The sequence below is a fragment of the Homo sapiens genome, chromosome 5 (genome assembly GCF_000001405.40).
Source record: "Homo sapiens chromosome 5, GRCh38.p14 Primary Assembly".
In the NCBI taxonomy this organism is placed as follows: Eukaryota; Metazoa; Chordata; class Mammalia; order Primates; family Hominidae; genus Homo; species Homo sapiens.
Genome location: NC_000005.10, coordinates 84,368,314 through 84,391,630, shown reverse-complemented (window position 1 = coordinate 84,391,630; position 23,317 = coordinate 84,368,314). Strand labels below are relative to the sequence as shown.

The following is a 23,317-nucleotide window of genomic DNA, read 5'->3' as shown; positions in this document are numbered from 1 at the left end:
TAGTGCACATATATAGACACACATACACACACACACACACACACACACACACACAAAGATAGCCTTCCTATAAATGTAGAAGAGCCAGTTACAAAATATAATGAAGAAATTTGCATTTAGGTAGGCATATAAAAATATAAAATATCTAAATAGAAACTTAACAAGAGAAACACAGAAGAAAATTGGATATATACATAGGTATACTAATACTATAAATATATTTATTATGTTTTTTTCAACTAGACAAGCTCACTCTAAAGTTCATGTAGGAAAAAAAATAAATGTACATTAGTCAGGGAGTATTTTTTAAAAAAGAAGTAGATGATGTTTACCCTAGTAGTTATTAAAAAAAAATTAAAACAACAATTAGGCATGTAGTACTGGCACACGAATAGATAACCCAATGGAACAGTCTATAAAAGCAAGCAGTAGAGCCAAATATATAGTGACTAAGTGAGTGAGTTGGCATGTCATATTAATTTGAAATATATGGATTTATTCAATATATGGTTTTGTTATTACTGGTAGTTTTTGAGAGAACAAGTAAGATAGTAACAAATACTATCTCTCAAATTTTAATTTGGTAAGAATTGTAAAAACACACATGAAATATTCATAAAACTACTATAAGACACTGTAAGATATGTTTATAAATTCAGAATACTGAAAGCCTATCTTAGCAAATATCAAAACCTAGAAATCTTAAAGCAAAGGTGGATAAATTTCATCACCCAAATATAAAATATTTTAGCAATTTTAGCACAATAAAATCAAACAAATAGGTGTAAACTAGGTTAAAGGACAAGAACCAGCTGGATAAATTTTTTGACATTAATGTGACCCCAAATGGATGAATTTCCTTATACAGATCTCCTACCAATCAATAAAAAGGTTAGCAAATCAGTAGAAATAAAAGCAAAATACATGAAATGCCAGTTCACATAAAGAAAATAATTATTTTTAAATATGCGAAAAGTTGCTCAAACCCAGTAAAAATAATAGGTGTTCAAAACCATGAGATACCTTTTTTTGTCTTTCAAAGACTGTTAAGAATCATATCAGCCACACTAAAGAGAGACAAGCTGTCTGATACAGTACAGGTGGAAGGGTGAACTCATAGATACCTTATGAATGGCAAATTGGTAATATCTATCACAATTTTATATGAACATTCCCCCCACCAACAATGTTACTTCAACAAATCTATTCTAATATGTTTATCTTGCACACATGTGCAAAATGTGTATTCATGTAATATTGCTTGCAATAGCAAAAGATTGGAAGCAACTTAAATGTCTATCAAAAAGGATTTACATATACAGATACTATGCAGTCCTTGATACAATTTCAAAACACAGAACGTTTGTGAAGAAAAGCAAGATCCATGATTGTATAATTTAGTAACTTTTGTAAAAAGTATGTGTGTACACATATACACACTATATATACACACATGTATGCACAAGTACATATAAACACACATATATAGGGGGGTGTGTTTGTGTATCTTTAGAAGGATACACAAGCATAGCTACTAGATATCAGCAGTAGGCCCTGAGGGAATAACCTTGTGTAAGAAGGGAATGTCATTAGGAGGAAAACTTTTATTTTCCTGCACACTCTTTTGTACCTTTGAACTTTTATTGTGTGTATATATTAATTATTCAAACATATTTCAGGAAGCTAAAAACCAAGTCACTGAAATGAGTTTGACTGGGAAACTGGAGGGAAAGAATTAGAAGCACCAGAAATTTCTCCTACCAGGGTCAAATTCTGAAAGCAAAGGTACACTCTTGCTTAATGACCCTACACATTTTCTGGAAAGAGCATCCATTAGGGAATCAGGCAGTGAAATATTAGGAAGTAGGGATTTGGTATCAAATCTGTAGTCTTAAAAATTAATTTTCCTTAGTGTTCACAGTGGAAAGACTGAAGAAATTTAAAACATAACACTCAGCTATGTCTAAGACATGCAGTTATCTAAATGGTAAGAACCATATAATTCTTTGGAAAGATAAGATTAACACAAGTGAAACAACTAGAAAAAAAATTAAAAGCACTGTTAATTCTAAGAAATGATGGTTCTCTGGTGCTAGAATAATTCGGGGAGGTCTTAAATGGAAACTGTAATTCAGCTAGTAGGATTTGTAAGAGGGCATTTCAGGTGGGGATAACAGCATGAGCAGAGGGTTGGAGGAAAGAATTATCTTGGTGCTTGTGGGAGCAATGAAGAAAAGTGTTATGAGTTATGCAAATATTGTAGAGAATTTAAAATGTGCTTGAAATTCTACATTTCAGCAATGTATATTCTAAAATGATGCATCAAGAAGATCAGGGAGAAATGCAAACTGTACTAAAAAATGACAATTATAATTATAACCATTGAAATTGAAAATGTCAATAAATAAAGTAAGTTAGACCACTGTCTAAATAGGCATTTTAACACAATGGCTGTGAAAATCACTACTGGAACCAGAGCAGGGCTCTGATACTAGCTCTTGGCTCCATTCCTCACCGCCACCTTGATCCTGGGCAATGTACTTAAAGGTTTTGATTCTTGGTTTCCTCAGTAGTCAAATGCAAATAATAATAATATTTACCTCATAAAGGTTGTTGAGGTAACCTATTTAGTAAAGCAATATATGTAAAAATGCATTAGAGCTTAGCATACAGTCGACCCTTCATAATTGTTGGCAGAAGTATGCAGTGGGCTTTAGATTCACGCTGTTTAGATTCACTTATCGGCTCCAACACTTACTAACTTGAGAGGATGGACAATTAACCTAACCGCTCCATGACTTATTCCTTCTCCCTGAAATTAGAATAACAATAGTAACCAACTATATTAGTCTTCATAGCAAACTACCACAGACTCAGCAGTTTAAAACAACACCAATTATTAACTCCCAGTTCTGTAGGTCAGAATTTGAGATGGTCTTGGCTGGGTTTTCTGCTTTGAGTCTCAGACGGTGAGAGCAAAATTTTAGTAGAAAGACATTTTAGATATTAAATAAAAAGTTTTGGAAATTCAAAACAAAGTTTTAAAATGCAAAATAATAAAAAATTCCATAATTACACGATAATAAAAAAGACTACCTTTAGTGTTATTCGTTGCTTGACAAACTGAAAGATGGACTAAAAAATTCCAGGTAATTTAATGGGGATGGGAGACGGGGAGTGAAGAGGATCACGTATTAAGAAAAATTCTTTTGGAATTATGTATATTAGTATTGTCTTCTTATTTATCAGTATCATTATCTTTCATCATCATCACCATGTGTCCAGTGCTGGACTAGGCCCTTTTGTGCACCACCACAACCTACCACTATCAGTTTGATACTATCACTACCTTCATTTTACAGATGAGAATACTGAGGTTTGGCACTTAACAGACTTTAACTTAGTTAAAGGAGTTAGAATGATAGAGACCATATTCCAGTTCAGATATGCCCAAATCCAATGTATACCTGAATCCAGGTATGCTCCAGAATCCAAATTGATAGTCAATGAGATTAATTTTTTTAAATTGTCTTAGTCAATTTCAGCTGCTATAACAAATTACTGTAGACTGGGTGGCTTCAACAATAAACATTTATTTCTCACAGTCCTGGAGGCTGAGAAGTCCAAGATCAATGCACCAGCAGATTTGGTGTCTGGTAAGGGCCTGCTTCTTGGTTCATAGCTGTCTTCTTACCTTGTCTTCACATAGCAGAGGGCAGAGAAAGATCACTTCCTTGGTGTCTCTTCTTATAAGGGAACTAATCCCATTCATGAGGGCTCTTCTCATGGCCCAATTCCTTCCAAAGGCTCTACATCAAAACATATCACAGTAGGTTCTTAGGCCTCAACAAATAAATTTGGGCGCAGGGGAGGGGGGTTGTGCAGAAACATTCAGCCCATAGCAAAACCCAGTGAACTTTTTACAGTCTTTTTTTTGTTTTGTTTTGCTGCTACTTTATTCTGCTTTGTTTCAAAGCATCATTTTCAAGTTATTTCCTTTGCAGCACTAAGTATTTAGTATACTAACAGGTGTTCTAAGAAAAAGTTTGTCATAGTACAAAAAAGAAAGTCTGCAAAATGCTGAATTAAATATTTTTGAAAAAAATTCTTAACCACAGGACCTTTCAAAGTATTTAATATACTAACATTCACCATGAATCTCTAAGAGGCTGCTTTGATATGCAATGTCTCCCCAAATTATTTTACCATGGATTTTTTCCTCCCAGAAACCTATTAACATCTTGGGGAAAAGGAGGCCTGCAGAAAATAACTTGAAAAGCACTGTCTTTGAGTGATGTACAGATTCATTTTTGGCACTGTAGGCTCCTATTAAGAGAAGCTATAAAACTGTAGGCTGGATCACAGTGATTAGTAAAGGTCCCTTAGCACTTTGTGTGAAGTACAAGCTTCACAATAGAGTTTCATCCTTTTACTTTTTAAATTTTATTTTATTTTAAATAATTCAATTTCTGCAGTCTTCTAACATATCTTATATTCCACTTCTGAAGAGGCTATGTGTGAGTGCAGTAACAGTGAAATGAGTCCTATCAAGGTAAATTAGGTAAAGTGCCTAGAATCTTCAAAATGAAAGGCTTATTGGTAGATGATCATTATCAATTAGTGGTTCAAAAAGAGGGGATGATTATGAATATGGAGCTGTGGATTTAAGACTATCAATTTTTTATTGGAAATGAGACGAGAAAGTAGAGATATTAAACTGGCAACATCTTTCATAAGTTGTCTATCAGGTAATACAGAATGTCATTTACTGTCTCCGCACCAAGTATTTGGGCATAGAATGTGCATTGTAATGTACTTTTATGCCCACTAGTTTTTAAAAACCCTTCTTTAAATTAAAAGAAAGATACATGTTTAGAAACACACACTGTTGGCAAAAATAATTTAACTTCTTAATATGCTCATTAAGGTCAAATACTATCAAAAAAGTGGAAATAAACAGGGAATAACATACAAAACTACACAAAATTCTTAACCCACTCTTTTTTTTCCCTTAAATATCACATCCCAGAGAGACTGGTTTCCAACTTTACATTTTTAGGATTTAGTACTATCCTTTAGAAATAAAACCTAAAACTAATATTAGACATCTCATTTCAAAAGTTAAAGTGTATTTTAGGATGAACATGCCACAGGGTGACTGAAAACATAGTTTCACAAGGAAGTAATGATGATGCACCAGAAAATTAGAATTTGATTGCTTGAAACATCTTTGCTACAACTCTGGACAATACTGTCTTATTCTAACATCTGTGACTTTAGGCATATAAATAGACAGTAAATAAATGAATCTCTCTCATTCTCTTAGCAAGGTGATTTTTTAAAAAATGTGTTTTAACCCTCCCACCAATCGTGAGATATGAACAAACCCTTTCTGAAAGGTGTTCTTTTTTTTCTTTCTTTCTTTCTTTTTTCCGTTGTTTGCTTGTCAGTTATACAATACCTTAAACCCTCCCTAGCAGTATTCAGCATTACGGTTCCATTCACCTCGCATTCTTCATTTCACTTAAAATTTGAAAAGGAAGGTAGAAATTTAAGTTTAAAGGACTCATCTCACCTTTAAAGGACTCATCCTTTAAAGGAGGCAGATGGAGATGTAGTTCCATGGCTAATTGCACTCTGTTATTCTTTTCTTAGTAGATTCACCTTTCAACTCTTTGCCTTCGAGAATGTTTCTCTTTCAATTTCTCTAGCTCTGTGTTTGTCTCTCTCCCTACCTCCCTCTCTAGAAGACAAAAAAAAAAAAAAAAGAAAAGAAAAAAGGAAAAGAAAAAAAAAAGAAAAAAAAGAAAAAAGAAGCCCTGTTTCATTTTGGTACCTGTAACTGCTGGAATTGGATCCATGTACAATAAGCAATCATTCTAACCGAAAAACAGAGAAGAAAGCACAATTGTAAGCCATGAGCTGTATTTTTGGTTCAATCACTTCCACTGCAAAAACCAGTCCATTTATTTTGGCGGATAGAAAGAAAATTTGATCCACCTTAGTGATGCTTCAAGGGTCTGTCTTTGCCTTTATGTTCTTGCACAGTTCCCAAACTTGCCCCACTTCTTCTCTGAAACAGATGTCCTGCTTAACGAGATGCATGTCTCCTACTCACTTCCACCCTTTTGCCCCCGTGAACAGATGAGCCCACAACCCTCTCTCCCCAGCCCTGGAGCTAACTAAATTGTAGACAGAGCAGCAGAGCAGCCCTGTCTTAGCTGATTAGGGTCTGGTTGCTGACTACGTTGCAGTTCCTGAGAAATACGGGGCAATTCACTTTGCAGGGTTCTGTCTCTCATGCAGTTTTGTGCCCCAAGAGTCACTTTTCAAAATCTCTTAACTTCTGTTCCTGGTTATACTGAGAAAGGAAGTTCAGGGGAATCCTTAACGTGGTTAATTATAAAGTCAGTGCTGGAATCCAAGGGACTCTCAGGCAGCAAGGGTGCAGCTCTTAACCCCACAGTCTCCAGCATGTGCGGAGAAGGTACAGGCAATGCAGGAACTTCAGAGGTGGTGGCAGGTGCTAGGTGCTAGGGTGTGGCTGCAGTTGTCTCCCTTTTCTCTTATAGCAGAAGGAGCTGAAAGAGGAGGGGAGGAGGGAGGAAGGAGAGAGAGAGCAAAAGAGAGACAGAGAGAGAGAGCAAAAGAGAGAGAGAGGAGGGGGAGACCCGGGGAGTGAATAACAGGGCGGGCGGAGGGCGGGCGGGCGCCGGGGGAGTGGGGAGCGCGCCTGCCAGGCTCAGACTCACACGCACGCCGCCTCTGTTTGTACACAGTGCGCTCCCGGCGGCCCGCTCGCTCCCCTCCAGCTCACGCTTCATTGTTCTCCAAGTCAGAAGCCCCGCAGCCGCCGCGCGGAGAACAGCGACAGCCGAGCGCCCGGTCCGCCTGTCTGCCGGTGGGTCTGCCTGCCCGCGCAGCAGACCCGGGGCGGCCGCGGGAGCCCGCGCCCCGCCCGCCGCGCCTCTGCCGGGACCCACCCGCAGCGGAGGGCTGAGCCCGCCGGCGGCTCCCCGGAGCTCACCCACCTCCGCGCGCCGGAGCGCAGGCAAAAGGGGAGGAAAGGCTCCTCTCTTTAGTCACCACTCTCGCCCTCTCCAAGAATTTGTTTAACAAAGCGCTGAGGAAAGAGAACGTCTTCTTGAATTCTTTAGTAGGGGCGGAGTCTGCTGCTGCCCTGCGCTGCCACCTCGGCTACACTGCCCTCCGCGACGACCCCTGACCAGCCGGGGTCACGTCCGGGAGACGGGATCATGAAGCGCTCGGTAGCCGTCTGGCTCTTGGTCGGGCTCAGCCTCGGTGTCCCCCAGTTCGGCAAAGGTAAGGCGTCGGGACCCGGACAGCTGGGTGAGGGATGGGCTGGGAGTCCCCTGAGAAACGCCGCGCAGGGGGCCGGAGGCGGTCCCTCCGGCGTGCCAAGGGTGGCGAGCGCCGCTGGCGGCGCGGAGGAGGCGTCGAGTCCTGGGTGCCCCGAGAAAGTGCTTGTAAAGTCTGAGCAGAGTGCGCGGGGCCGAGCGGGGAGAAGGGTGCGGGGTACCGGGGTGAGATACAGGAAAGAGGAGGACGGTGGGGAGCGGTAGAAGACAGCGTCCCCAGGACCAGCGACTCTGTGGCTCACTCGGCCACTGGGTCTCGGCGCAAACCCTCCCTAGGCAGTGCGGGCGATGCTGACTGCAGACGTCGGGCAGGGCTTTCGTGCGGGCGGGAGCGGGGGAAGCCAGTGCGCCCGGGCGTCAGCTAGTTGATGCGGGAAGAGGCTGGGGAGCTGCAGGGCCGTCCGCCCCCGGGTGCGGTGCTCTGGCGCAGGGCCTGGGCTGAGCCGTTCGCAAACCCAGACCCGGCGCTGGGCGTTTTGGCCGCGGGTGAGGTGGAGAGGAGTCTCACAGGTCACTTCAGCTTTCTCCTGCCTCCCCATCCCAGAGGAGCAGCATCGATTACAGCAAACCCCAGGAACCCGCCTCTCCTAGTCTGACCCCAGGGGCCTGGAGCTTAGCTGCGCACCCCCTCCGAGTACCAGTGTTAACTCTTGGTAATGGGGAATAGTGCGGGGCAAGCCACCCCTCGCGTCCCCGCACAGGAGCGGAAAAGTTGTGAGAGCTTGTAGGGTGATGCCTTCTGTGAATTGCACGAAAAAATAAAAACAGAAAAATAAAAATCAAATTAAATTAAAAAGAAAAAAGCATTTAAAAGAAAACGCAGGACTTCGACGAGTGTCCTGCTGGAGTAGTTTAGGCGACTTCCAGGTCCCCTGCGAGGTGCAGCTTGTCCATACAAACCCTTGTGCTGACCTGGGTCTCACCGCTGGCCGGGGCTGAAGTAGTCGCCGGAAAAGGGCAGCGGGGGCAGCAGGGTGTGTGGGGAGGCGAGTGGGAGCTGTGCCTGGGGGAGCTGTGCCACTCCTGCGCTCACAGATGCGGGCGGCCCCTTGTGAGGGATCCGCGGGTAATAGAATCCTCTGCAGGCAGCTTCAAGTGGAAAGCTGAGTGAACTACAGGGTTTTAAATGCTGTGCCTCTAAAAAAGGTAGATGGATTTAAAAATGCGTTGACTCCAGTCCACTTGAGATTAGACAGAGTATGAATATTCTGCACCATCCATCCATGCACCTATCCATCTATTTGAGTCACAAGAAAATTGTGGACTCTTGGGCGACTGTTCGCCCAAGAAGCCGGGTGTTGCTGGCCAGATGCCCTCGCAGCTCTGGCAGTAGAGATCCATGGCCGCGCCTTGCCTGGGCCTCCCTCCGTCCCCCAGAATGTGGTTATTTTCCCCCAGCGTGTAGGCGTGTGTGTAGGTGTGTGCCTCGCCTGCGTTTACAAAGTGCCCTTCCAGTTAATAGGCAAAGGCAGCCACTCCACTAAAGGTTAAGAAATGGTAATGGTTCCAGTAGTTGCTCGGCCGAGTCTCCAGCGATATAAAAAAGAGAGTGCTTCCACGGCTGCTGTTTTTCCTTTCTCTCATTTCCCGTCTGGATTTCCTCTGCACTTTGATCTCTTAGCAGGAAGGGAAGGGGGAAGGACTGCAGGCACTCCCCTCTCCTCCTTCTCTTCCCCGCCTACGTTTCCACCCCAAACACGAAAACACACTCACCCACTCACTCGCATTGTGTCACCGCCACCACCGTACGTCCCCGCTCCGAGGTGGAGGGCGGCGCGGGGTAGAGGAGAAGATAGTGCGTCTAGCCTATGTGGCCGCGCTTGCCTATGTGGCCGCGCTTGCCTGGCTGGGTCTGATTGAGGGAGCCCCGGGGCGCGGCAAGTCCCGGCTCGCTGCAGCCAGGAGCTCTGTCTCCTGAAGATACCCGCGCCGAGGGCACAGCTTACTCCGCCAGACAAGCCAACCATGGAGATGTTGCCTGGACTCTCCATCCTGGTTCTCTTAGACAATGCTCGGGAAGCTGGATGCTCCATATTCTTCAGGAGATTTCTCCCTTTTTCCCCCAGCTAGCTTGTGAGGACAGGGGAAAGGCTTGAGGAAAAATAAATAGACCATTTTGCATTAGCCCTTTCTGTTAAAACTTGCACCTCTCTAATTTTTTCTCCCTCACCTCTGCAGAAGGCAGAGTACAGCTTCCGTGACAGCTCCAAACAATTAAACTTCCGGCAAACTTATTGAAGCCAGTGCTAACACAGAATTTTCCTTGCACTCCTTCCCGCCCCCAATCATTAATCTCATGTCTCTTAGAAATTGGTGTTTTCCCTACGTATGGGTTGCAATTTACTTGCATTAATGCCTGGGATTTGATAAGGATATGTAACTCCTTTTATTAGTCGTCTTTATTTTAAAATTAAACCAATGGATCAGTCAGATTGAATATTTTATTAACTATTAAATTATTCACGGTATGGGTTGCTCTAAAAAATTCAATAACATGCATACAGTTGCAGCAAGCACGTGACATCTTATGCAATCTGTCCCTGTGCCTGCAGTTTGTGCCTGAAGTCTTTAAGCAAATGGCACTGTCTAAAAATGTCTAGACATGTCCTAAATACTATGAATCATTGGCATTTGCATTTTCTTTTTTTAATCAATGGCGATTTTTAGTTAATTTTACATGAGAATAAATTAATACCTGAACAGTCTCACTCCAGATAACAACACTAACCTTTTATGATTAGTATAGTTACATTTATACAGAAATAAGGAGTTTCTTTTATCTTATTATATTATTATTACACATTGATGTCTTCGTTGCCTAATTTACCTGACCATTAAATTTTATACCTTAAAAATAAATGCTAACTTCAGAGTCAAGGTAAAACATACAAAAATAATTCTGAAATATCAAATTAAAATAAGAATTAAGTGAAAATGAAGTATTCTCATGTGAAAGTTTGACAGTATTGCAATATTTTGGCCACTGTGGTGATACAACACACAATTTTTTCCTCTGGTTCTGAAAATGTTTTTCTGATTTTTCCTGAAATGTTTCCTTAGAATTAAAATGTATTTGTTTTAAATGTATATGGTTTTGGGAAAAGACTTAAAATAATTTTTAAAAATCAGGAAAAAATTGAGATGGTCTATTTTTCCTTCTTTGATCTTGAAGTTGCAAAAATCTTCAAAAGTAGGCAAATGTATTTCTGAATACTTTTCTAAATTAAAACTATGTCATAATTTTCTCAAATATATTGACATCAATGTTCATATAAATCATGTATTCAAAATCTAGGGTATTTTAAATAAATATTTAATAAAGTTTGCTTTTCTCTCTAGATACATGTGATTTTTTTCTTCTAATAAAATTATAGCAATGTAAAGGGAAGGAATAAGATATACATGACTAAAATAAAGTAGCATGGTCACTCGATACCATTAAAAGTAAAAGCTTGACAGTTTTTAGAGTTAAATTAGTAGTACCAGCTGTTAATTTTATTAATTTCAAGATAAAGTTTTAATTAGCTAAAACTTTTCATTTTTGAAGGATTTTGCATAATGGGATGAACTGTATATATTATCATTTAGTGTATAATTTTTTAAAAGTTGCCTCCTTTGAGAGTTTCTTGAAGCCTAAAAAAGTAATTCTGATATTTGTTGTTTACTGCACACACTTGCAGGTGCAATAGCTTTGAGTAAGATTAGGATGTAATAGGTTCATTGTATCTCTTCCAAAGAAACAGTGCAGGCTTCAGAACTCAGTTCAAGTCAGAAGTAAATCATAACATTTGGATACTGAGTAAAAAATAGCAAATTTTGCAAATATGTGTTGAGTGTTAATGGCTTCTGTCATAGTTAATCATTTACTTTTTATTTGCTAAGTAGGTTGAAAATTAACATTATTATTTTAAAAAGCAGAAAACCAAAGCTAAGCCATTCCTATTATTCAGTTCTTCTCTGTGTTTTAAGGAAGACGCTTAGCATCTTCCTTAGATGTTCTATAGTTATAGACTATATAAATATTCTTCTAAAATGATTTTTTTATTTTTATCATAGTCCATGTAATGATTATAATGTTGTTTGCTTAATCAAAGCAAACATGTATTTATAGACAGAGTCAAATGACTGCCAATGTGAAGTAATTATTAAAATATTTCTCATGGTTTCCTATGTGATACAGCAAGAATTTAAGTACTATAAATACTTAAACTGAATGTATTACCACTTGTCACTGAAAATACCCCTAAAAATCTTTGATTTGAGCAAGTTGTTGAAGGGAAAAGTAGACTAGAATCAACTGTGCCCTCACCAGCAGATGTCAGGATAATCAACGAAGATCTTTTAAAGGAAAAAATAAAATAAAAGGAAAAATAAAAGAAGTCAAGTCATAAATGTGAATCTGCAGATCCACATAAAGTAACTTTCTACTCTTTACGAAACTAATGTTATTAGTTAGTTTTCATTGCTTCCCTGAGGAAGAAAAAAAGAGGGCATTGTAAGGTAGAATCCTTCTACCATAGGATTTTAACTTGGAAACACAGACATTCAAGTGCACACTTAGGTTGAACTATTACTTTAGAGGGAGTCTTCTAAGTACCTTCCAAGGAAAAACACAGAGAGCTATGAGGTGTTTGTAGTAAAACAATTATTAATGAAATTTATACCACGATTTCTAAGCTTATTCTTCATATGAACTATAAGTTTCATAAATAGCAGTTCTGTTATATTGATTTACACAGACATACACACTCAACTATTCCTATGCATCTACTGCACTGGAAAGAGATGAATGCTTTTATTTACTCTTTTTGTCATTATGGTAAAGTGTATGTTTTTTAGATCTTGCAAGATTCTACATAAAACAAGTCATGTGGCCAAAAGAGACAAATGTCATGATAAATAAAGCTTTGTTATATCCCATTTAAGCCAGTTATTAATTTCTATATATGTGACTCCTCTGCATCAATTGATGTCAGGGACTTGAACTAATTTATTTTGATTGCAATTGACCTTTAACTGATAACTTGTAGTTCCAGCATCTGCTGATGTAGCCCTCAAAACTATGTTACAGATTCACCATTATACCCTTTTAAGGAGCTTTTTTATACAGTCACTGACATTGTGCCAAATAGTCGGTTTCCAGTGGCATTCTTTCTGTGTCAGAGTTCTCCTAGGATAAAAATTTCTCTCTCCTTCATTCCGTCTCTTTCTCCTCCTCTCCCCTCCTCCCTCATTTCCTTGTTATATGGCAAATAGGACACAACATCTACTGTAAAATTGATAGTGATATTTTGTCATCATTATTAAAAGATTGCAAACCTTTGAAACGTTGTGAAACTTGTAACTTATCTTTTTGTGAGGAAAGAAAAGGAAGATGATAATGTCAAACCTCTGCCTACCAAACCTGAAGTTTAAAACATAAGTGGAAATAAATTGGGATCTAAATCATGGAGCAACTCAGGATTTTACACCTTGATTTGATCACACTGTCCTGCCTAAAGCTATCAAGTATACAGTAATTTATATCCACTTCACTTGTGGAGAAGCCACTTGCCTTGAAGCTTCATCCACATACCACATAGCTGAGAACCTAGGATAAAGAATCAGAAACTTCTGACCACAAAAATAGATGTCATAGTTAGGTCTTAGATCATGTATCATAGAAAAGCTTATTTCTCTTGGCTTTCAAGTTTCTGGGTCCTCTATAAACTGAATCCAGAAAGTGAAAAGCATATGAAGTAATAGGTCAGGCTTAATCAGAGCAGTAAAACATGCCAACTTTTAGACAAAGAGGAGACTCGAATAGTATATGTAAAAGCAGTGATACTTTGCAGTACAAAAAACTGGGTACATGCAGTTGGGAGGGTTTGGGGTGGGGAGTGGTAAGTGTATCACCATATAAGAGAATGCAATAACTGGTGATAATGCTGGTTTTGCGACCTAGAGAAAGCCTCACTGCAAGATGTTCAACATTTTTTGGGTGCAAATGCAGTGAAATGTATACATTATTTAAAAAAAGACTTGGTCAAAAATGTTTAAGCTTGAAAACCTGCTTAATGGTGAAATAGCTAGATATCTGAACAATGTACTTATTTAAGACTTTTCCCGTTGTGTCAAATAAAATGTTGGTATTTTAAAATTATTTTTCTTCTAAGGTAATAAAGTTTTAGAAGACACAAAACTGAATTTTGTAAAAAAGAAGTAGACCTTACAATGTAGATAAAATGTCCTGCAATTATTTGGTTATATTTTAGAAAATGTGCTGCTATTTTGTTTTAAAATATGCATTATTATAGTGATAGTAACTGTGTAGGAATTGTTCAGATTTATAGTGTGTGACTTAGAATGGAGGATTTAAGTACAAGAATTTAGGTGACGGCTTTTTAAGCACTAAAGCACTTTTGAATGTGGTTGTTACTATGGAGAAAGAAGATTGACTTAGCTTTGCCTTTTATCTTTTCCAAAACAGGTTTGTATCAAAATGATTGATCTCTTAAAATAATTTAATATGATATAATATTTCATAAATGGGAAGACCAAGGTTTTAATCTCTTGTTAGATGATATATGCTTGATTTGAAGATGATAATCTCTAAATGGGGTTAGGCCACCATGCATTCCTTAAGGTTTGTGCTTGGTATTTAACAAAGTGGTATATTTTGGGAATGCAAAATAATCCTTTAAATCCCCTCTTGTATTTTAGGTCAGGGGAACCATTTAGATTTTACTGATTCTGGGGATTATTTGAGGTCAGCCAGGATGAAATGGGCTCATGACACAATCAGGAAAGTCCAAAACAATTGAGTGGAAACATTGGAGAATATTTTTTATTTGAAATAAATGGACAGATCCCTCTCTGTAATGTAGAGCAGTCTCCCACCTACAGGCCTGAGCCTTAGGTCTGTGCTCACATCTCTGCTTCACTCTTTTTTTTTTTTTTTTTTTGAGACGGAGTCTCGCTACCCAGGCTGCAGTGCAGTGGCGCGATCTCAACTCACTGCAAGCTCCGCCTCCCGGGTTCACACCATTCTCCTGCCTCAGCCTCCTGAATAGCTGGGACTACAGGCTCGGCTAATTTTTCTGTATTTTTAGTAGAGACGGGGTTTCACCGTGTTAGCCAGGGTGGTCTCAATCTCCTGACCTCGTGATCCACCCGCCTTGGCCTCCCAAAGTGCTGGGATTACAGGCGTGAGCCACCGCGCCCGGCCTCTGCTGCACTCTTTATCACATTTTCTTTCCAAATACTATATGAACTTTAATTTTAACTATGCTATTTTTTCTGTTTATTTATCTTTCTATAGTTTAACTTCTGTATTATAAACGCTAACTTTTCTGGAATGTTGTTTACAGACAAACAAAAACCAAATTACCATTCGCAGTGCTTTAATGTTTATATACCAAGTTCTTGTTTCATGTTTTGTGCTTTCTACTGAGCTAGGGCTTAGAATAGTACCAGGCAAAACAAACAAGAAGACCCAAACAGACACTTAATATATACTGAATTGAATGTAGCTACCCACCCCCATCAGTTTGCCTGTAAACGTACTTGCACATTTTAAACAGCAGTGTGTCTCTTATATATAAAAATAGGTCAAAGTAGTTTCAGGAACTTTAAAAGCTGTGTTTTTCACTTTCTTACATAACTATTCCTTATAATGTGTGTTGTAGAATGAGCCTACTTTGAAAATATTTCTCAACACTCCTGCAAGAGCACTGTTGATAATATAATATTCAAGTGCAGGCAGGATATAAAGTACTTAACTGTGTTTGTTATGAACCTTCAATTAAAAGAAAAGCTGCTTCTAAGTGATTTTTCCCTTTTTTAGGTGCAAGGTTCTGACATTTCTGACTAAATTTGATTTTGGCCTAGAAACAGTAATTTTTCAGGCATCATTTTGTGTTTTTATTTTTTTTGCTTTCTTTTCATTACTTAGGGACCACCATCATGTCAGCATTAAGAGTCTTAGATAAGTTAACAAGGTACATTCTTTCTAATATCTTTCAAGTCTAACATGTATTGACTGCATACTATGTGTTCCACTGTTCTAATTATCATCTTTAATTCTCAAAACTATTGAGGCAGGTGCTATTATTATTGAAATATAAATGAGAAAATGGAGATATAGAGATCATAGAGCTACTAAGTAGCATGTTAAAATTAGGATCTAGAGCTTGTCCTCTTAACTATTAGGCGATGCTCTGTCTCAGTGAGTGACACATCTTGTATATCATGGAGATATTTTGTTAAATGATTTTATTATTTGTAAAACACACATTATGTCTAACCATTATTTCACTAGTAATTATTTTAGAAGGATTAAATTATACTTATTCTCTTGGGACAATAATTTAAAAATTTCAAATTTAGGTTGGTAAAGTGTAAAGTTCTTTTTTCACATTCAGAAATAAAAGAGTATGCTCATTCATTTGGTCAGAAAGTGTTAATGTGTTAGAATGCATCACTGGTAAGAAGATGAGCACTTGGGAAGTGGTTTGAAATACATTTTCTTTAAATCTTGCCATTTAGTTTGATTTCAGCACAATTTTTTGATTTATTTTAATTTTCTAGGATTTCATTGCTCCTCTACATTGTTTCATTGCTATTCAATGTGATGTGTAGAAGCATGCTTTCTCTGTAATTTTCAGATACATCAGGTAGTACAAAGTGACTTTAGAGGTTAACAAGGTTTTTATTTCTCCTAGTGTAATGAAGATATTTAATTTGCCTTACATCTCATCCTCATTTAATTTTATTTCCACATAACCCCATTAAGAAGTTTTAGCCAAACAAAAGCACCAAATAATCTCAAACCACATCAATTAGAATATTTTTTTTTCTGGTTTATGTGAAGAATTATTCAACCAAAATATGGTTTATTTTTTTAAAAAAACTTCAAACTGCAATCATTTTAAGTATTTTACAAAACAATGAGAATTATGCTGTATTATTCCATTTTCACACTGCTATAAAGAAATACTCGAAGGCTGGGCGCAGTGGCACATGCCTGTAATCCCAGCACTTTGGGAGACTGAAGTGGGCGGGTCACGAGGTCAAGAGATCGAGACCATCCTGGCCAACATGATGAAACCCTTTCTCTACTAAAAATACAAAAAATAGCTGGGCGTGGTGGTGTGTGCCTGTAGTCCCAGCTACTCAGGAGGCTGAGGCAGCAGAATTGCTTGAACCTGGGAGGCAGAAGTTGCAGTGAGCCGAGATCATGCCATTGCACTTCAGCTTGGTGACAGAGAGAGACTCCGTCTGAAAAAAAGAAAAAAAAAAAAAAGAAATACCCGAGACTGGGTAATTTATAAAGGAAGGAGGTTTAATTTAATTGACTCACAGTTCCACATGGCTGGAGAGGCCTCAGGAATTTACAATCATGGTGGAAGCCGAAGGGGAAGCAAGGACCTTCTTCACGTGGCAGCAAGAGAGGGAATAGGGAAGGAGGAACTTCCAAACACTTATAAAACCATCTAATCTCCTGAGAACTTACTCACTATTCAAGAACAACACAGGGGAAACCACCTCCATGATTCAGTCACCTCCCTCCTTGGACACTTGGGGATTACAGGTCCCTCCCTCAACACATGGGGATTGCAATTTGGGATAATATTTGGGTGGGGACCCAGAGCCAAACCATATCATATGCCATCTAACATGAGCTCATCCTCGTCATTTTCTTCCTTGGTATAGCTGTAAATTGTTTAACTGTTGAAATTTACCTCCACATGCATTATTATATTTATTCCCCCAAAATAATAAAAGAGTGGTTAAAATTTCGTAAGCATTTTCCACTTTAGGAAACATAAGTATTTTCCACTTTAGGAAACATTTCTACTTTAGGGAACATAAGCAGAGAACATATTCTTAATCTAATTTAACAGATAAGGACTTGAGATTCAAAAAAGTTGTATGACCTGGAATTCAAGGAGTAAGTAGTTTCAATTTGAATCTATATGTTCTGATTCCAACTTATTTTTTACTCCTTTCTTCTGTACTACTTTACTTGAGGTAATTATAGTTGTGCTTTTTTTTTTTTTTCCAGTTCTTGGACTCAAGAGATAAAAAGGAGAGGTTGGCATACTGCTTGCTTTTTCAAAAACTATTTCAAATTGCTTCTCAACATTAACACTTTCTTTCTTTCCATTAGCACATAACACTTTCTTTCCCCTTTGGAGCCCATTACTAACCTTCATAACATGCTTTACTTCCTCAGTGGCTTCAGAACCTTGTTTCTTCTCCATCATTCGTCCCCTTAAAAACTTTCACATATGAGCTTGTAGCCCTTTTAACATTCTGATATTAAACTTCCTGGAAGATCCCAACATTAATGATTCCCATCTCTGTTTTTAAGTACCTACTGGCAATGCTATTTATTAGATTTTCGCATCACATGAAATTACTCAGCTACCAGTATTTTAAATTTCTCAGAGTTTCTGTCTCTTACCAGAATTTTCTAGCTTTTACCTTTCCTCACCCTTCATTCCTACTGACCCTACTCTTGGTCACTACTCTAATTTCTAATCCTTCTTATGTGTTTTTCCCAACCTGGTCTCTGTGGTTATGCATTTCCAGAAGTATTTACCCACTTACAAATTTCTCTGTTGATTACACCCATTTTTGCTTTATCTGGATGATTTCACCATTGTTGCTTTATGAAATCTCGAACTAAGATAATTTCTAAAGTCTTTTTTCCATCTCTGGCACTAAGAAAATGAGTACTATCAAAAAGTGATAGCATCTATAGATCCTGGAAGGGCTGAAAGGTTGAATTGGGTTTTAAAGGGAATGAATAAGAAGACAGGAAGTGATGGTTGGAGGAAAAAGATTTTGGAGGCATCGTAATAATTCCAATGTAATTAAAATTTTGGTAATTACAAACATGAGAGTATGGCTATAGAAGTTATGATTCAGGGAGGGTAGAAGACATGATGATTGGAAGAAAATTGGCACCGAATGGCCAGGTGTTGGAAAAATCATCTTTGTGGTTATTAAAATCCCAAAATCTTGTGCCCCAAGAAATGTTGGGGAGGATGACAGCAAACCAAAAACAGAAATCTTTAAGGAATGACGGGGTGTAGTTCAGAGATCAGGAGTACTTATACTAAGGAATGGTAGAGGAGCAAAGATGACATGAAATTAAAACTGGGCGTTTTTAGAGAGAGAGGAGGGAAAATGTTCTGGACATGGCCTGGAGCAGCAAAGGAACTGGTACCACATGTTCAGACCCAGAAGTTATATGAGGAAAAACAGTATCCAGTTAAGAGGGCTGCAAGGTATCCTGGAGGAGAGCCGATTTACTCTAAGCAGAATGCAGATATATAATTGCCTAGTCTCAGGCATTATTCTCTTTGACTGTCTTCATCCTACAGCTTTTGACACATTACAATCTTAATAATAATTGATGTATCTCATTAAGATCAATGCTTTTAAGTACATATAATATGTGTTCATAGAAACAGCTCTTTTAAAACCCACAACAACCTAAGGCGTTTTTATTATCCCTGTTGACAGATGAGGACATGGACTGAGAATAGAATAAGTAATCAGCACTCAAAACTAGGTCTTATAGATCCAAATCGAGGAATCTTTTCACTGTAGCACACTTACAGAGAAAAGCCCCAAATCCACGGAAGAATTCCTTCTAAATTTAAAACACAGCTGGGGGATAGGAAGATTTCTGCAGTTGTTCCCTGACCTACTTTATCTTGTTCAGATGGCCCTCTACGTATTTTGAAGTCTGCATAGTTTAGGTTACTAGGAATGTCGAATATGTCTGCTTGGCGGTTTTAATTCTTGCCCATCCATGGGTCATTTGTCCAAATGTTCTCACTGTAAAACAATTAACATTATTACCAGGGGAATAGTTTCATCTCTCCTTTTAATATACTCATAATTGTGTACCTTGTACACAAAGTTCTTGTTTTTCCTCAAGTTTACATGTTTCAAATATTTGTAAACCATAATGTTTCTTTTTTAGTTTCTGACATGCTGAAGTCGTACATATTTTTTCCTTTAATCTGTCCTTGTAAGCCATTCCTTTCATCATTTTAGTTGTTTCATTTGGAATCCGTCCAAGTAGCCTACATATTTATTCAACAGGCTTGCCAAAAACTCAAGAGAATTCCAAGGATGTGCTTCCCTAAAATACCGCCACATACGTTAGTCTGTATTTTTTAATTTTTGAAGCTACATTCTGAATTTTTAATCTTTAAATTAACATTAAATCTCAAACTAAGATAGTCTCTAAAGTTCTTTTCCCATCTCTGGCACTAATAAAATGAGTACTATCAAAAAGTGATGGGATCCATAGATCGTGGTGGGACTGAAAGTTTGAATTGGGGTTCTAAAGGGAATGAATAAGAAGATAGGAAGTGATGGTTTATTGTTTAATTTATTGTTTTGCTAGTTAATTTTTTCTGTCAGGCCACACATTTTCAAATGATATGTAGGTAGAATATATATTATTTTTCATAATTTTATGCTGCATTTGCCTTCACTGGAATTTTACTTATTTTTTTCATTCTTTATTTAGTATAATTCTTACTTCTATTATATGAGATATGCTTTCCCCTCAGATATGGAGTAACCTAACTTCATTTCTTACACATAATATTATTATGCTATTTATTGTTATTTTTTATCATGTACATATGTACTAAATAATAATGCAACACACAAATTTCTGCCCTTAGCTTTTTTTATTTCATATTGGTAGGGGGTCTTTAAGTATTCATGATCTTCTTGAAATTATTTTCTCTCTCTCTCTCTCTTTCTCTCTCTCTCTCTCTCTCTCTCTCTATATATATATATATATACACACACATATATATACACATATACACACATATATATACACACATATATATACACACATACATATATACACACATATATATACACACACACATATATATATATATATATATATACTTTTTATCTATATGTATCTCTTGCTATATGTTGCAGATTTTCTGTTTCTAACTCATCCCTCAGCTTAAACTGCACAGCCTGGGAGAATCTCTCTCTGGTCATCTTATCCAAGTAACTCATGCTCACACACACACTTACATACACATCATATTTCCCTGTTATTATTCTGTCACTGTACCATTATTAAATATATTATAACACTTTTCAAAAATCATAGTTATATAATCATTTATTTGCTCATTTATTTTTTATCTTATTTCCAATAGACTGTAAGCTTGATGAAGGCAGGAAGAATATCTCTGTTCCTTAATGTATACCCAGCTCCAAACGTGGTACCTTACATATAGTAGGCACTCAGTTAATATTTATTTTCTGACTTTATGCATGCATGCATGCATGCATGAAGAACAACTCTGCTGGTATATACATCTTTTTATCGTTAAAAATGTGTTCCTTTGATAGACCCATTAAGTTATTTAATAAATTGTTATCTACTTGATGCACTGATGCATTGACTTGTGAATCATGGTACAAATGGTACATTATTAAAAAGCAATAAATACTTTAGTAGTGGCAAACTCTAAGAGCTGAATAGATTAAGTGACCTACTGTTTCCATAGCTGTCTAATTTATAAACAGTTTAAAAGGAAGATTCAGGTTTTATCTGTGGTTGCCAAATTACAATAAAATACTTTTAATACTATATGGGAGCTAGACAGTAAACTTTATTTATTTTATTATCCAGGTTTGACAGGAAAAGTATGTGCAACAAAAACAAAGTACTTAGTGGTGTTTTTAATTATCATATGGAGGAGCTGCAGGTAGCCCTCTGATCTACTAATTGCCGCAGTGCCCTGACAGTTACTCCCATCAGCTCCAGCAGCAATAACTTTCCTCCAAGCATAACTTCTTTCCCTCCTCCCACCATGCAGTCACACCTGCTAAAAGCAGAAGTACTTGGCAGAGGGGAAGAGACAACACCTGGGAACTGTGTCTGCCGAGGAGCTGAGAACCTTCTAAACAGCTCTGTTTAGAGTTGTTTGTGTAATGACAATCTGTATGTCACTGCAAACTGCTATTTATTCCCCTTTAGGCAACTGTATTTCTACCTTTCTTAAATGCCTCAATAGTTCTGAAACAATTTACATGTTTGAGACCCTGGTAATTGTGTGATTTCCACTTCTAAATCTAAAAGTCTAAAATAGACATATCTTTCTAAAAAGGTATAGAATGGAAAAAGGTGTATAAAATAAAAACTGTAAAATCTAATACTTTGCTCCTGTTTATGTGTTAAGAAAAAGGCTTTGGCAATTATCGTTGTTTGGTTTGAGGAAAGGCAGTTAATTTCTAGTCTTTGTTTTAAAATTTCAAGTATTTTGTAACCCATAAGCAAGTATACACTCATTGATGAAAAGGTATAATGATGACATATTGGCGTCTGTACTTTGAGACTTGTTTAGCTAAATAAGTATCTTTAAGTATATGTTTAACCATAAAATGGATCATATCATACAGCGTTTGGGGGTTTAATTTTCAATTTAATTATTATAGTAAAATGCACATAACATGAAATTTACTATGTCAATCATGTTTTTAGGTGTACAGTTTAGTGATATTAAATACATTTATAATGTTGTGCAATCATTATGACCATCCATCTCCATAATTCTCTTTATATTGTAATGCAGAAACCCCATCCATACTCATTAAACAATAATTCCCCATTTCTCCCTCTTCCCAGCCCCTGACAACCACCATCCTACTTTCTGTTTCTGTGATTTTGACTACTCTAAGTCTCTAAGTACCTCATGTAAATGGAATCATACCTTATTTGTGAGACTGGCTTATTTCACTTAGCATAATGTCTTCAAGGTTCATTTGTTTTGTAGCATACGTTAGAATGTTCTTCCCTTTTAAGGCAAAATAGAATTCCTTTGTTTATATATGTATGTATGTGTATGTTGTGTTGTCGTTCCTTTTTAAGGCAAAATAGTATACTATTCCCTTGTGGTATGTATGTATATATGTATGCATATGTTGTGTGTGTATATTTATATGTGTGTGTATATTTATATGTGTGTGTATGTTTATATATATTATATATACATATATATTCTAAGTTTTTGCTATTGTGAATAATGCTGCTATGAACATGGCTTCACAAGTATCCCTTTCAGAGTCTGTTTTCAATTCCTTTGTTATATACCCAGAAATGTAATTGCTGGATTCTATGGTAATTCTATTTTTAATTTTTGGAGGAACTTTCATAGTGTTTTTCACAGCAGCTATAGCATTCTACATCCCCACCAAGAGTGCACATACTCTACAACACTTTTTATTTTATGCTTTTTAGGTTTTTATTTTTTCAGTAGTCATCTTAATTAGTGTAAAATGGTATCTCATTTTAGTTTTGACTTGCATTTTCCCAACTATTAGTGATGTTGAGCATCTTTTCATGTGTTTATTGGCCATTTGTATATCTTCTATGGGAAAACATCTGTTCAATTCCTTTGCCCATTTTTGAATCGAGTTGTTTTTGTTGTTGTTGAGTTTTAAAGTTCTCTATATATTCTGGATATTAATTCCTTATCAGATATGTTTTGCAAATTTTTTTTCTCATTCCGTGGGTTGCCTTTTTATTCTGTGGTAGTTTATTTGGATATACAAAACTTTTTAATGTTTATAAGTCCAATTTGCTTATTTTTTCTTTTGTTGCCTGTGCCTTTCGTGTCATATCAAAGAAATCATTGCCAAATCTAATGTTGTGAAATTTTTACCCTATTTTGTCTTCTCAGAGTTTTGAAGTTTTAGATCTTAGATTTATATTTGATCTATTTTGAGTTCATTTTTGTATACGATGTAGGTAAGTGCTCAACTTCATTCTTTTATATATGGATATTCAGTTCTACCAGCAACATTTGTTGAAGAACCTGTCCTTTCCCCATTGACAATCCATATCGAATGGCTTTGGCACGCTTGTCAAAAATCCTCTCACCATATATGTG

General features: G+C 37.4%; 1 protein-coding gene and 1 long non-coding RNA gene across 5 annotated transcripts in view; one reads left to right on the top strand and one right to left on the bottom strand.

Moving 5' to 3' along the window:
- EDIL3-DT (EDIL3 divergent transcript) overlaps positions 1-9,209 on the bottom strand; it is a 35,237-nt gene extending 26,028 nt beyond the window's left edge. The window contains exons 1-2 of one of the 3 annotated variants that reach the window (NR_183295.1): positions 9,093-9,209; positions 3,695-3,809 (exon numbers count right to left, since the gene is read on the bottom strand). This is a non-coding gene — a long non-coding RNA (EDIL3 divergent transcript). Of the gene's footprint in view, positions 1-3,694; positions 3,810-6,752; positions 7,118-9,092 lie in introns of those variants that run through there. The other 2 variants (NR_183296.1, NR_183297.1) reach the window with 2 other exon arrangements.
- EDIL3 (EGF like repeats and discoidin domains 3) overlaps positions 6,751-23,317 on the top strand; it is a 444,327-nt gene continuing 427,760 nt past the window's right edge. The window contains exon 1 of one of the 2 annotated variants that reach the window (NM_005711.5): positions 6,751-7,323. In NM_005711.5, the coding sequence (NP_005702.3) occupies positions 7,257-7,323 (67 nt within the window). In that variant the 5' untranslated portion in view covers positions 6,751-7,256. The remainder of the gene's footprint in view (positions 7,324-23,317) is intronic. The other variant, NM_001278642.1, reaches the window with a different exon arrangement.